Below are 14681 nucleotides of genomic sequence, written 5' to 3'. Positions count from 1 at the left end.
ACCACACCTGGCTAATTGTACTTTTTGTAGAGATGGGATTTTGCTATGTTGCCCAGACTAGCCTGGAACTCCTGGACTCAAGCGATCTGCCTGCATCAGCCTCTCAAAGTGCTGGGATTATAGGTATGAGCCATTGCTCCAGAATTTAAGATCCTTCTTGATGTGAAAGAGCCAGAGCTTCTGCCACGTAGACCCTCCAGAAGAGAACAGGGTTCATGGACATGCTGTTGAGTGCATGTACCTGCAACTGCAGCAAGGCACGTGGCTCTGCCTCTGGGTCATTCTGTAGTTGTAAAATGTTCCACAAGCAACTACTGAGCTGCTCATTGTATCTGAAGGACTATACATTCTTTATAGCCAAGACTATGCAATATTTCTCTCTTTCACTGCTCTAGTAAAAATGTTTAAGAATTTCTAAAGTTTATGATTCTTTCATTCATCAGCACCTGTGACTCATTGATTCTTCCTCACAAAGTGTTCATGATCATTCATCTTCTGATTCTCAAAAGGATTTGCTCAAAGAATGTTTGCTGAACACAGTATAAGGTCTTAATCACTTAAATACATGCTTTAATTTCAGACACTTCTCTTTGTTTTATAGGGAGACACACGTTGTTCTCTCAATGGACAAGGATCTTCTTCAACCCCTGCATCCCCCACATAGTGGCACAAAGGAAATATTTGTTGAATGAATGAGGTTAGTTGCTTTTCCTTTTTAAAATAATCTTGATGTGTCACTACATATTTTGGTACAGATGCTTTCAATATTTGGTTATTCAAGGAGACTGAGTTGGCAAAACTTTAAATAGATGCTATGATAGAAGCAGTAAAGCTTGCATTTAGCTTGGAAATGTTGAGAAGAAACATGTATACATTTTCATCTTCATGATCCTCCTCACCTAAAGCCGTGGGCTACTGGAATGTCTGCAGAGTATGTTGTACATACAAAGACATTTTCACTCTTACTTGTTGGAACCCCTGAATATATCTGGTCCCATCACCACAGGTTGGTGGTGACATTTTTCAAAACTAAAATTAAAAAATAATGGATCAGTAAAACTTCACCATAAGAATACCTGTAATAAAAATTCCCAAACACAGATAATGGAAAATGTAATGTTATTGACTCGGATAAATATAAGCCATTGGCTTTAACTTGAGAAATACAGCTTTTCCCCCAACTTTCTTACAGATTCCTCAATTATAGTACAGAGGAGTTAAAATTTAAATGCTTCCCAACTCTAAAGTAGCTGGTCCAATGTGGACCAATTTGGATCAGCTACTTTTCTTCTCCATTTGAAACTTTCCAACAATAAAGACAACAGTCTTCTTGTACTTGATCCCTACAGAATTAAACAGATGCTGCTTTTGGTGTGGACCCAAATCATAGCCCCTCAAGGAGTTTGTCAGCAGATTTGGAAGCCACCAACTTTTAAAAGTAAAGTCCTAATCCCTTATTTTATGAAAATTATACTGCCACTGGAGGCAGAAATCTATCTTGTCCTCAAAAACATTGCACTTGGTTGGGCACGGTGGTTCATGCCTATAATCTCAGTACTTTGAGAGATTGAGGCAGGCGCATCACTTCAGACCAGGAGTTTGAGACAGCCTGCGCAACAGGGCAAAACTACATCTCTACAAAAAATGAAAAATAATTAGTAGGGCATGGTGGTATGCGCTTATAGTCTCAGCTATTCAAGGAGGCTGAGGTGGGAGGATCCTTTGAGCCCAGGAGTTTGAAGCTGCAGTAAGCCACGATTGCACCACTATGCTCAGCCTGGGGAACAGAGTGAGAACTTATCTCAAAACCAAACAAACAAACTATTGCAATTTAGTTTTGATGTAAAAGGTATAACAATCTGAGTACATAGGAGCAGTTTCATATTTTAAAAAAATCACCTTGAGCAAAATAGATAATGAAAGTATCATGTAAATAGTGTATTTTAAATAGTTTATTCAACCTCTTTTTAAAAATTGTTTGGCTTACTGAAAGAAAAATAAAAGTTTTCAAAAAGAACTGTCCCCACACACAGTCCCCTACCCCCAACTAGCCTTCGATTTCCATCACTATAGTCCAGAACAAGTATTATTTATAGTTAAAAGATGCATCAGTCAGCTCAGCTAACTAAAGTTCCAAATGCATTCAGCTGCCTACTGCTGAAGCCCAGTTTCGAAAGCTTTTATCTGTCACCAAGGCCAGCCATCCACACCATTGAAACTCAGAATCATTACAAGCCTGTGACAGAGGCCAACCCCATGAGCAGAAGCTCCCTCTCTGCCTCACAATTCTGATTTCACTTCAAAGATCCAGTTTCCCTCACAACCCTCCTCCTATCTGAGGTCTTGTTCTTGTGACTTTTTTAATCTCAAGATTACCCCCATTCACTTGAGTGAATCACAATAGAGTGGCCAGCGATATGGGCCTAAGTATACAAGAGTTCAGAAAAGGAGGCCATGCATGACTTTAAGAAATGTCGAACCTAATAGATTACTATCAAAGATAAACAGAAACCCCAATATCAAGTATTTGAAAAGTACAAAATTTGCAGCAAAATATTACAAATAAGTAATACTAAATAATGGACTGTATCCGATTAGTTTCCATTTTATAATTCTCTCAGTACTAGGGTCAAATATGAACTATTATATTATACTTCATTAGTGGTCACTTCAGCTCTTCACTGCTTCGTACTCCTTTAACTGGTGTATATATGTTGCATGGTAAATTTCTTGAATGTTAAGATCCTACTTTTATAACCCCATTGCACTTAGCAGGGATGTACACCTAGACCTCCATATCAAAGTGATCAATAAATGCTTGTTAAGATGTATATGAACATGGAAGCAATTACTCGTCTCTAACAACAACTGTGAAAAATGTGGAGGCTCAGTGTTGTATCAGTGAACCAGCAAAATCACCAGTTTCTGAATGTGTAAGAGAATATCAATTGATGATCCAGCTTCTAGCAGCCACGCCCATTTCTACAAGCATAGAAATGATGACCTGTTGCATAATAATAGTAGTCTAGTTAATTATAATAAAATAATGTATGCATGTGTTCAGCAAATATTTATTGAGTGCCTACAATTTGCCAGTAAAAACAAAACAGACACAAATCCCTGTCTTCGAGAAGCTTACATTAGAGTGGGGGAAATAAACCATAAAAAATATAAATAAGTAAAAGAGATAGTGGTAATACTAAGGAGAAAAAAACAGGACAGGGAATAGTAGTACAGGGTATTGCAATTTAGATAGAGTAGCAATGACAATTCCTGAAATAAGTGAGGGAGTGAGCCATGCTAATATCTGGGAATAGCATTCCAAGCACAGAGAATGCAAAGACTTTGGACAAATTCAAGGAACATCGAGAAAGCCAAAGGGATGAGCTCAGTGTGAGAGGAGGGTAAAACAGCAACAGATGACTTCAGAAACATGAGATAGGGCACATGGATTATAGAGGGCATTTTAGTTCATTATGAAGACTTAAGCTTTTACTCTAGGATGAAAAGCAAATCCAGAATTATGAAAGAGATGTGACATGATATGATTTATATTTTTCAGGGATCCTGCTGGCTTGTTGTATTGGAAATAGACCAAAGGCAAACAAGAGCAGAAGCTGCAAAACCAGTTAGGAAGCCATTGCAATAATCCAAGCTAGAGTTATAGTGGCTTGCACCAGAGCAGTAGCAATGGAGGTGGTGATAAGCAGTAGAGTTACAGATTCATTTTGAAGGTTGAGTTAACAACCTCAACTCTAACCCTGACTTTTTCAAACCCTTGTGTCAAGGTCTGGCTTTCAAAAGACTGGAGTGAAAGGACAGCTTTCTCCATATGAAACCACAACCCAGAAGCAGGTCATCTACCAATGCTTTAGCTCTAGGTTAAATGGTCTAGCATCAGGGTTGCTGAATGATTCTTCATGGAATGCAAAAGGTTTTGCCCAGAGAAACTAGAAGAACGGAGTGGCAGAAACAGAAAAAATAGTGAGAGAAGCATGTTGGAGTGGGAGGTCAGAGAATATCAGGAGTTCAGTTTTAGATATAAGTTTTAAATCAGACATGTATGTACACATGTAAAGAAGGGATCTACAAGGGTGAATCACAGAGATATAGCCTGAAAATCAGACCACTTAGATTACACTTTTTATTTATTTTTTAATTTAATTTTTAATTTTAATTTTTGTGTGTGTGAGTGGTCTTTTGCTTTGCACGCCTGTTAGCCTCCAGCAGGGGTTCAAGTGAGACTATGTAAAGCTCTGTATGTGTCTCTTATTTTAATTTCAATTTTTATTTTAGATTCAGGGAGTAAATGTGCAGGTTTGTTATGAGGGTATAATGTATGATGCTGAGGTTTGGGCTCCTGTTGATCCTGTCACCCAGAGAGTGAACATAGTACCCAACAGGAAGTTTTTCAGCCCTTGCCCCCACTCCTTCCCTCCTTTTGAAGTCCCTAGTGTCTATTGTTCTCATCTTTATGTCTGAGATCACACTTTTCAAAAGCAGAGTCTGAGATGGAGATTCTTGTGCAAGTTACATTTTGAGTTGTTCCTTTCAGGAAAAAAAAAAAAAAACTATAGGAAAATAAGATACACAGGATAGAAGAAGAGAAGAAACTAAATTTTTTAAGTAGTTTCTAGATCAATATACAGTCACTTTGATCCCATGGGGAGATTTGGAGTGTAGTTTGACCCCAAAGTTTGCCCCATTTGAAGGCAAGGAAGTGGAACTGTTATAAGCCTGCATTACACAGTCATTAGCCAAGAACTGCAGAAAGAGGGGAATGGACAATCAGACTTCTTTGGGTGGAGTGGCTTCCATCAATCAAAGGCAATCCTTGGGAACCATTAGCAGTCATTAGCAGCCAACATCTGGCAGGCGACAATGGGTATATCAACCCTGTAAATTCGGTGGATTCGGTTAGAGGGAGGGTGCACCAAGAGCAGCTGTTGTAATCTACCCCTTGTACCACTCAGTTTTAGCATACACCAGTTAACGTAATGTTAACTAACCTAACCTGCTCTCACATTAGGTTCACTCCACCTGGTCAAAGCTTCTCCAGGATTCTGGCCAGTTGAAATTTCTGGAGAAACTGACAGAGAGAGATTTAGTGATGCAAACTATATACAGCCCCAACTGCTGCAGCTGATCATGAGGCCATGACTAATACACATCACTGTCTTCATCTACTACCCACTCCAAATATCTTTTACTCTTGGCTAGCACGTAATGCAGTGTAGGTGGCTGTCCTGATGAGAAGTCCCAAACCCTCATCCCTGAGAGATCTAAGTCCTGACTGCCATGTCCTTATCAGCAGTGCTTGCTGTACCCGCCTATTTGTAGTAGAATTGGCCACAGAAGTGCTAAGAGATGACCCAATGGTCACATGAGTTCTTCACATACTCTTTCCAGCCCCTATTTCCACATTATGATCACAGTCAATTATTCCTGCGAGTTGGTAACTCTTTTCCTAGCCTCCTGGTCTTCTGGGATCAGGAGCTCAAAATGACCAGGTGGCAGCTATAATTTTATTAGGACTTTTCTTGTGTCCCCTTTTGGAAATGCTCCCTACTCTGGGAACCAACCTCTATGCATACAAAGCATAAAGCTAAAAGCACGGGAAGCAGGAATCCTCCAAGAGGGTCTCCAGAAGATATGGTGAGCAAGGCCACTTCTACTTCCACTCCTTGAGTCCTAGACCCATGTGGTCTGTGTGTTGGAGACACAGCACAAAATAATGGTCATTCGTTTACAGTATATTCCACATTTTAAGGACAACAACTCACCTCCACAAAAAATGTCATCTCGAAGTTGGTACCTCAGCTGCACATTCCAAAGGTCATTCCAGCTCTTTCAGAACAGGCAGTTTCCAGCTGGTATGGCTGGTGCCTGCAAGTATGCTAGAGAATGTGACAGAGAGAAAATGGTGGTGCAGGGCTTGGAATTCCCAGCTCAAGATCCAGCAAACAACCAGAAAATTTCTATGACTGTGACAAAAAATCCCTTTTCACTTCTTATTGTGGAGTTGAGATTTCTGAAAAACAAACCTAAAATCTGTTCTGTGGGTGGATGAATTACAATGTCACATGAACTTCCAACCTTGCTGGGTCTCTTGAAAAAGTTAGGATATTCATCAGCTAGGGGTCTGGCCCAGAAAACTGGGATGGAGAGAAATGGCCAGATTCCAGTAAAACTAGAAACATGAACTCCTAAGTTCTGCCAAATCTTCTTTACCAATAGAAGCAGCCCTTCCTACTTTATCTGAGGAGATAGATGACTTCTTTCCTCCAGAAGGCCTGTAAGGGACTTACTTCAAGTAGTTTCTTTGCAAGGCACTGCGGATCCTGAAATGATCACACTCCCACCCCACATTGTTTCTAGACCTATGACCAGTCTCATGTCCCAGCTGGTCCAAGAGAGTGAGGCCAAACTGTGACCCATATGGAGGGTGTTCAATGCACCAAAATCCCAAGGAGGGTGGCTGGATCCAAGGGTGCATGCATTAGTAAATTTGATGTATATTGCTAAATTTCCCTCCAAAGAGAGTATACTAATTTATGCTTCCATCAGCAATGTGGAAAAGAGCATGTGTCTCCAATAACTTGGCAAAAGAGCATGTTTTCAAAGTTTTGCCAAGTGGATAGTTTAAACATTGTAGACCAATATAGTTTTAATTTGTATTTCTCTTATTATAAATCAAGTTGAGTATCTTTTCTGTGTTTAAGGAGCCATTTGTATTTCCTTTTCTGTGAAGTTCATATTCATATTTATTGCCTTTTCTCTTTTTCTTTTGAATTGTTGATCCTTTACCTATCATTTCTAAGAGCTCTTTATATATTGGAAATTACATTTTTATTATAATATGGGTTGCAAGTATTTATTTTCCCAGTTTGTTTGTTTTTTGTAATTTTCTTATAAATTCTTGCCATGCAGAATTTTTAAAATTAAAATTAATCTTTTTCTTTATGAGTTTAAAAGACTTTCCACATCCCAAGATATTAAAAGAATCCCTCTCCTCCCATTTATTCCTAGCAATTGTGTTGTTTCATTTTAACATTTAACGTTGATATATTTGGACTTTATCCTGGCATAGGATTTGAGATATGGCAACATTTTTTTAGATGACTATTGTTATCTCAACATCAGTTACTGAATTTTTCTCTGATATGAAATATTACTTTTATCTATAGTGAATTTATATTAAATTACCATATGTATATGAATTCATTTTCTGGACTATCTATTCTACAGTATATATTCACAAACATATTTAAATTTTGAGGCTCATGCTATATTTTAAGACATAATAGAGCCTGCCTACCTTTTTTGACTTCTTTCAATTTCTATAAGCTTAAACTATGTTAGTCTTATTTTTATAGGTTTAAAAAGAGGAAAAGAGTACTTTGTAGGTCTTATACTAAATTAACAAATTAACTTAAGAATAATTAACATCTTGCCGGGCACCATGGCTCACATCTGTAATCCCAGCACTTTGGGAGGCCGAGGCAGAGGGGTCACTTGAGGCCAGGTGTTCAAGACCAGCCTGGCCAACATGGTGAAACCTTGTCTCTACTAAAAATACAAAAATTAGCCGGGCATGGTGGTCCATGCCTGTAGTCCCAGCTACTTGGGACGCTGAGACATAAGAATCACTTGAACCTGGGAGGCAGAAGTTGCAGTGAGCCAAGATCACGCCACTGCACTCCAGCCTAGGCAACAGGGAAAGACGAAGGAAAGGAAGGGAGGGGAGGGGAGGGGAGGGGAGGGGAGGGGAGGGAAGGGAAGGGAAGGGAAGGGAAGGGAAAGGAGGAAAGGAAAGGGAGAGAAAGGAAGGAAGGAAGGAAAGAGAGAAAGAGAGAAAAAAAGGAAGAAAGGAAGAGAGGAAAGAATACTTAACATCTTTATGGTAGCAAATCTTCTTATCTAAGAAGACAATGTAGGATTCCATTAGTTCATGTCGACTTTCATGTCTTTCTGAGTATTTTTAAGTTTCCTTCAGGTCGGTCTTATACACTTCTTGTAAAATTTAATTCCAGTATTTTATCTTTTTTGTTCTTATTGCAATAAAATCTTTTCTTTCATTCTATTCTAACTGGTGGTTTCTTTTGCATATTAGAAAATATTCATTTCTGTATCTTTGTTTTGCATCCCACCACCTTGCTAAGTTCATATCGGTCTGTAGTAGCTTTTATGTTGATGTTAATTGTTTGGATTTTCCGACTATACAAGAATATATATAGCTCCCCTTTCCAATGTCAATAACTATAATTTGTTTCTCTTAATTAAATCAAATGTTTTCACCATTAAGATACAAATTGTGATGATAATGCTCATTCCTTTCATATTTTTGAGTTGTATAAGAATGTCTCTGGATACATTATATAGGCTGCAAGTTTTTGGGTAAGGTGGATATATTTTTTCATGTTATTAAATATTTATATTATTGAGCACTTTATCAAAACAGTATTAAATTTTTTAATTGCCTTTTAGCATATTTGGAGGTGATTATATTACATTTCTTTTACAAGTATCAATGTGTTATGTTAATGACTTTTCTAATATTGAATCATCATTAAATTCCTAGATTAAATTCTACTTGGAAATGATATAATATGTAATGCACTGTTGGACTGTGTTTTCTAATATTTTATTTAGGATTTTCTATGCATAAGTGAGATTCGGTTGTAGTTTTCCCTTTTATGCAATTTTCTTTTTCTCAGTTTTCATGACTATTTCATTGATATTTGCAAAGAAGTTGTATTTTCTGGGCATGTGCAGAGTTTAATAACTATCAATAAGAGCTAACTTATTTGTCTATACAGCAGGTCCTTGAATAATGTCGTTTTGTTATAACATTGATGATAAAAAAAAAATATTGATCCCCGGCGGGGCCACCAGTTGTAGGGTTTGCAAGTTCTCCTAATGTCTGCGCGGGTGTTCTCTGGGTGCTCCGGTGCAAGTGATTCTCCTGCCTCAGCCTCTGGAGTAGCTGGGACTACAGGTGGGTGCCACCACGCCTGGCTAATTTTTGAGTTTTCTGTAGAGAAGGGGTTTCACCATGTTGCCCAGGTGACAGGGTTTCACCATGTTGCTCAAACTCCTGGGCTCAAGAGATCCGCCCACCTTGGCCTCCCAAACTGCGGGGATTACAGGCGTGAGCTGCTCCCGGCCTTTTTTTTTTTTTTTTTTTTATTGCTGGGTGTAGGAAGGTGTACATGTTAACTTTTGGGGGTACTACCAAATTGTCCTCTGAAAAGATGTTGGTCCAGTTTATGCTGATGTCAGCAATATATGAGAATGAACGTTTATTTTCTCACCTCCTCCAGCTGGGAGACAGAGCAAGACCCTGTCTCAAAAACATTTAAAAATAAGTAAATAAAATTTTTAAAAAAGAATGTCTATCTGGAATTTATGATTAAATGTTAGCTCTAAATTTATGGTTTTCCAATTGGAGTACCAGTATACCACAACACTAAATGGCCATCTTTTCCTCACTGATTTAAAATGCTTTAGTTATCATATATGTAATTTTTCATGTAACTATTGTCTGGGCTGTCTGTTGATGTGTTTGTCTATTCATTTCTTTTATTATATTCTATTACCTTATTGTCTACATCAGTACCACACGGTTTTAAATACTACAGCACTAAAGTATCCCAAATTCTACCACTCACTGACCATGAGACCTCAGTAAACCTCTCTAAGTCTCATTTTTTTTACATTGTTGTTTTAAGAAACAATACATAAAAGACTAAGTAAATTAGTGCTCTAGTCCTGTTCCTCACACAAAATAGACGTTCAATAAGTAATTGTTATTATAATTCACAATTATATAATGAAGGTAGTAATGAATTATGTTATAATTCATAATTATATAATGAAGGTAATAATGAGTTATATTATAATTCATAATTTTTATTACAACTCATAATTGACGATGAGATTAGACTATGGACAAAAATTTATGATAATAAGTTACCAAATATTTTAAAAATACAACTACCCTTGCTTCTCTTTTACTTCTCCCTGTGTGTTCAAGCTCCAAGGGAACTTGTCCCTGTGGGGAGATCATTCAGATTCTGGAATATGCTCTGTTCTCCTAGGCTAATGGTGTGAACGGTGGAAGGAACAAAGAGTAGCTTATGTAGGACGCTATGGAAAGGGAGATCGGGTCAGTAACAAAGAGGAGAGCTGGCACTCCACTAAGTTTCCCATAGGAAGGACTGAAAGCCTGCTGTTCAGTTGCTTAGCAACAGGCAAATGTACAAGAAAGAAGTCAAAGACATCATAAAATCAGGCAAATTTTACTCTCTCACTCACCCATTTATTATTTCTACATTGTGCATAAGTCAAAGTGTGACTTCCAAAAGATAAGCCAGCCAGACAGTAAAGGGAAAGCTCAAACATAGGCATAAAAATGTAGTAGGTACCCCAGAGATAAATGTACAGATAAAAGTACATGTGATTCTAGCTGGATTCCAGCTTATAGAACCATTCTGCTCAGCGCAAGTACTTGTTAAGTGCTTCAGAGGATGCATGGAAGAGTATGAGGCAGCCCATGCCGTTAAGAAGTTTAAGATCTTCTAGGGTGGAAGAGACAACTATGCAAACAACAGCGTCAAAGGCAGGACTAATGTCACAACTGAGGAAGAGATTTAAGACTTGGGGGGCATCCAGAAAAGCTTCACTGAAGAGACACCATTTGAATTAATAAAAGTTAAACAGAAAAAAAATGTTAAGTAGGGTTTTTGACAGGTACATGGGGGAATAGGGAGTGCTTCTCAGGATATCAGGGAGGAAGTTTTAGGCATGCCCAGAACAATAATCCAAATTTGCTGCAAAATAGGATCTACTAGAATGGCAGTGAAAGATAAAGTTGTTGCCAGACTGTGGAGGTTCTTGAATGCCACATTTAGGGGGCCTGTGCTTCATTTAATAGGCACTGAGAGGCTGGGTGTGGTGGCTCATGCCCGTAATCCCAGCACTTTGAGAGGCTGAGGCAGGCAGGTCACTTGAGGTCAGGAGTTCAAGCCCAGCCTGACCAACATGGCAAAACCCTGTCTCTACTAAAAATACAAAAATTAGTTGGACATGGTGGTATGCACCGTAATTCCAGCTATTCAGGAGGCTGAGGCAAGAGAATCACTTGAACCCGGGAGGTGGAGCTTGCAGTGAACCAAAATCAGGTTGCAGTGAGCCAAGATCACGCCACTGCACTCCAGCTTGGGTGACAGAGCAAGACTCTGTCTTAAAAAAAAAAAAAAAAAGGCACTGAGAGATGATTCGGGTGATATACCTTCAGGAGATTAATCTGGAAATGATAGTTCTGACTGCGGTGGTAGTGAACCATGAAATGAAGCAAGTAGTGAAGAAGAAATCTCAGCAGTGCAGGTGGGAGAGGAAGATAGTCTAATCTCAACAAGGATCAGGAATGGGAAGAAGGAGACAGATGATGGGGACATCACAGGGGTAAAATTTGAAAATGGTTACCTATTAGGTACAAGGGCTCAGTAGAGAGAAGGGGGTGAAAATTAACTCAGAAGTTGATAGCCTGATTTATTGAATAGCTGTAATAGATGAATGGATTCATCTGAGCAGGGGACGGGCTGGTGGGAAGAGGAGGGAGGGAAAAGTAGAGGAGGAGGAGGAGGAAATAAAGAAGAAGGAAATACTTTGAACTTGCTAAATTTGCTCATGGTACTATCAGGTGGTAATGTCCAATTAGTGGAAGAAAATATAGGATTGGAGTTTAGAGAAAGGTCAAGGCTTTGGTAATTATCAACATGAAGGGCATAATTGAAGCTATGTGAGTAGATTTAAACACAAAGGAAAGAGATCAGATATCATCTCAAAGGAAGAAGAGGGCTGGCTAAGGACAGAACCAAGAGGCAGGAGGATGAGTGGTTAGTGAAGGGGACACAAAAAGAAGCGATGGGAACTGGAAGAAGATCCTAGCATCCGTCGCCAAGAGAACAACTTTTAGAAAGATGCGCAGATGGGCAATTATGGGTGAGGTTTAGTTTCCCTTTTAAAAAAATCTTTCACCAAGATCAGCAGTACTTTTGTAAAAATATTTTTCATCAGTTTATTTTAAGGAAATCATTTGTTATCAACAGAGGCAAATACAACAGAGACATGGGAGGATAAGGGCTGGGGACAATATCACATTTAGTGACAAAGAGATCGTGTGTGTCCCTGTAGAAACAAACATGTTTCAGCAGAACAGGGAAGCAGGAGAGGATTGGAAGGCACACGGGAAGACCCTGCAAGTGACTCATTGGCAGCACAGGGGTACAGGGAGGGGGAGGAGCGAGACAGATAAGGGGATTGTTTTCAGGAAAAAAGTTTAGAGGCACATTTGTTGAAGAAGGGAAGGACAATAAAGAGGGAAAGTTGGAAGATTTGTGTAGAAGTAGAAATCCTTGACCTAGCAGCAGAGAGAAAACAGGCAGGAGCAGGGCTAGGATCACAGATGTCAGCCTTGAAAAGCCAAAAACAGAGACCAGTCCTCTAATGTAGAGTGTGGTGGAGGTAAAAACCAGGAAAGGAGGCGGAGAGATTTTAAAGTGAATGGAGGAAACTTGAGGGTTGTCTCGTTTGAATGATTCAGGGAGTAACTGAACTTAAAGAACGTTTGAGAGGAGCTGGGAAAAGCAGAAAGGCAGTCTGAACATGGTTCACCAAACACAAAGGCTTTTTCTTCTTAAATCTTAGGTCTTAGACAGATACAGATAAACTTCCCCATGTCAGTAGGGGAATTACAATAGGTCCCAATATCAATCAAAAGAAGTTACATCTGAACCCACAGACCTTAACAAATACAGAGGAGACTAACAGGCTGGGCTATTATAGAGAACATGAACCACATACAAATCATAGACCCCTGGCACTCAGAGGGATCTCCAAAGGTCATCGGAGAATACACACATCCCTGGCAACACACACTGCCACACACATGCACCAATTACACTATGCTCTGTGTAGAAGGTTTAGACACCAGAAACTCTTCCATGGAAAGAAGGAGAGAGGCACCACATTAGATGGCCAGAAAACTTTGAATTGATGAGAAGGGAAAGGTGGTTCACAGGACAAAGCCTGAGAAAACTGCAGTTCCAAAAACATGCCCCAGTTCGATTGAACAGATAAAATATTGCATGAAGTTTGAGGATCTTTGCATCCAGTTCCCAGAATGATTATTTTAAATACGAAGAGATCGATCACAGGAAAAATAAAGGCTTCTGGATTCTTTGACCACATCAGGTCCCACAGGAACCATGGCCACATGAACTATGCACTTGGTGAGTACATAACATGACACTAGCCCATATTTCAGGACCTTTACTCTCACCTTGTATCCTATTTCATTGAAGTTATTTTTCTAATCATTAACTGTAGCAACAGAGAGAAAACATTCAATGTGGCAAAGAGAGAAGCTATGTCCCTTTGAGTCCATGCCTTCTCCACAAGAATCTCCTTGAAGTTTTTCATCAGCTGTGGCTCAAGGTGTCCCACACCTTGAGGAACGACGACTCTTCAGCACAGCTCTCAGCCTGCAGTTGCTGAAGAGCAGAATGATGGGGTGAACTGCTGCACACAGATAAATCACTGACTCCCACACCCAGAATTTAAAGTCCAGAGGTGGAAAAATACCTGCAGCACTGAACACCAGTGACAGGAAATATGAGATGAAGAGCATGGCAAAAGAGAGGAGAGCCAGCAGAGCCTTTATGTGTGCCTGCACACTGGGCTCTCGGAATCCTGAGGTTGTAAGGAGAGCCTTCTTCCTGTGTCTTCCCAGAGATGTGATGAGCAAAATCATGCAAATGAAAAAGACAGCAGTGGGCATTGTCCAAGTAATCATTTTTAGAGGGAAGAGATAGAATTTCTCACAGTAGCTCCGTATGCTATCGCCAGTGACATTCCAAGGTTGTAGATGGTTCCTTAAATAGTTCTGATACATTCTGTGGTTGCCTATGAAAAATAGAATGGTGGTGAAGCTGGAGAGCCCTACAGAGCTGAAGAGCATCCATGGTAGCCACCCAGACAACTTGTGCTTTAGCCAGAAGAAGACAGGGTGGGTGAAGGTAGCAATTTTCACACAATAGAAGACACTGAGCCAGGTAGAGGACCATAAGGTGGCAGCATTCAGGAAGTCCCACTGGAAAGCTAGAAACTGCAGTACAGGGTTGTATGGGAAGGCCATCGGATGCAAGAAAACATAAATGGTCTTACCCATTACCACTGACTGCAGACAGAAGCGAGAGGCCCCTAGGCTAACCAATAACTTATCACAAGGCAACAACATTCTCCGTAGCACCCACTCCACGCCCAGAGCAGCAGTGATGAAGCCATTGCCTGCTATTGCTACCAGGCGTAAAAGGAGTAAAATGGTAACCAAGATGATGGCCTTCTTGTCAGTCACCGAAGATCCTAGAACCATGTGGTCTCCATTCATCTCTCTGGTGGACAAGATGGGTCCCAAAACTTCAAGGGCTATCTCTGTTGGGTTGCTCTGGAAGGTCCTGTAGGATATGTTTGTCCCTCCAGCTGCCCCAAGCGCAGAAGCTAGGCCAGAGTAGAGGACGCAGGCTATCAGAGGAGGGTGAGAGGTTTTTTCTTCTCAGAGTAGATGCAAATATTGTCAAGGCTCAATTTTCAAAGTCCCCATACCTGCCCAAAAATTT

At 39.8% G+C, this 14681-nt stretch overlaps 1 protein-coding gene and 1 long non-coding RNA gene across 2 annotated transcripts in view; both read right to left on the bottom strand.

Moving 5' to 3' along the window:
* The window catches only part of EPHA1-AS1 (EPHA1 antisense RNA 1), a 115637-nt gene that overhangs the window by 65545 nt on the left and 35411 nt on the right, over positions 1–14681 (bottom strand). The window lies entirely within an intron of this gene.
* TAS2R60 (taste 2 receptor member 60) lies at positions 13496–14452 on the bottom strand. The gene has a single exon (NM_177437.1). The coding sequence runs from the start codon at positions 14450–14452 to the stop codon at positions 13496–13498; it is 957 nt and encodes a 318-aa protein (NP_803186.1).

Source organism: Homo sapiens, chromosome 7, assembly GCF_000001405.40.
Source record: "Homo sapiens chromosome 7, GRCh38.p14 Primary Assembly".
In the NCBI taxonomy this organism is placed as follows: Eukaryota; Metazoa; Chordata; class Mammalia; order Primates; family Hominidae; genus Homo; species Homo sapiens.
This window is presented reverse-complemented; position numbering and strand designations above follow the sequence as displayed.

Bases quoted from the DNA above. Each gene is read 5' to 3' on its own strand.
- TAS2R60 (NM_177437.1), bottom strand. From the start codon at position 14,452: ATGAATGGAGACCACATGGTTCTAGGATCTTCGGTGACTGACAAGAAG.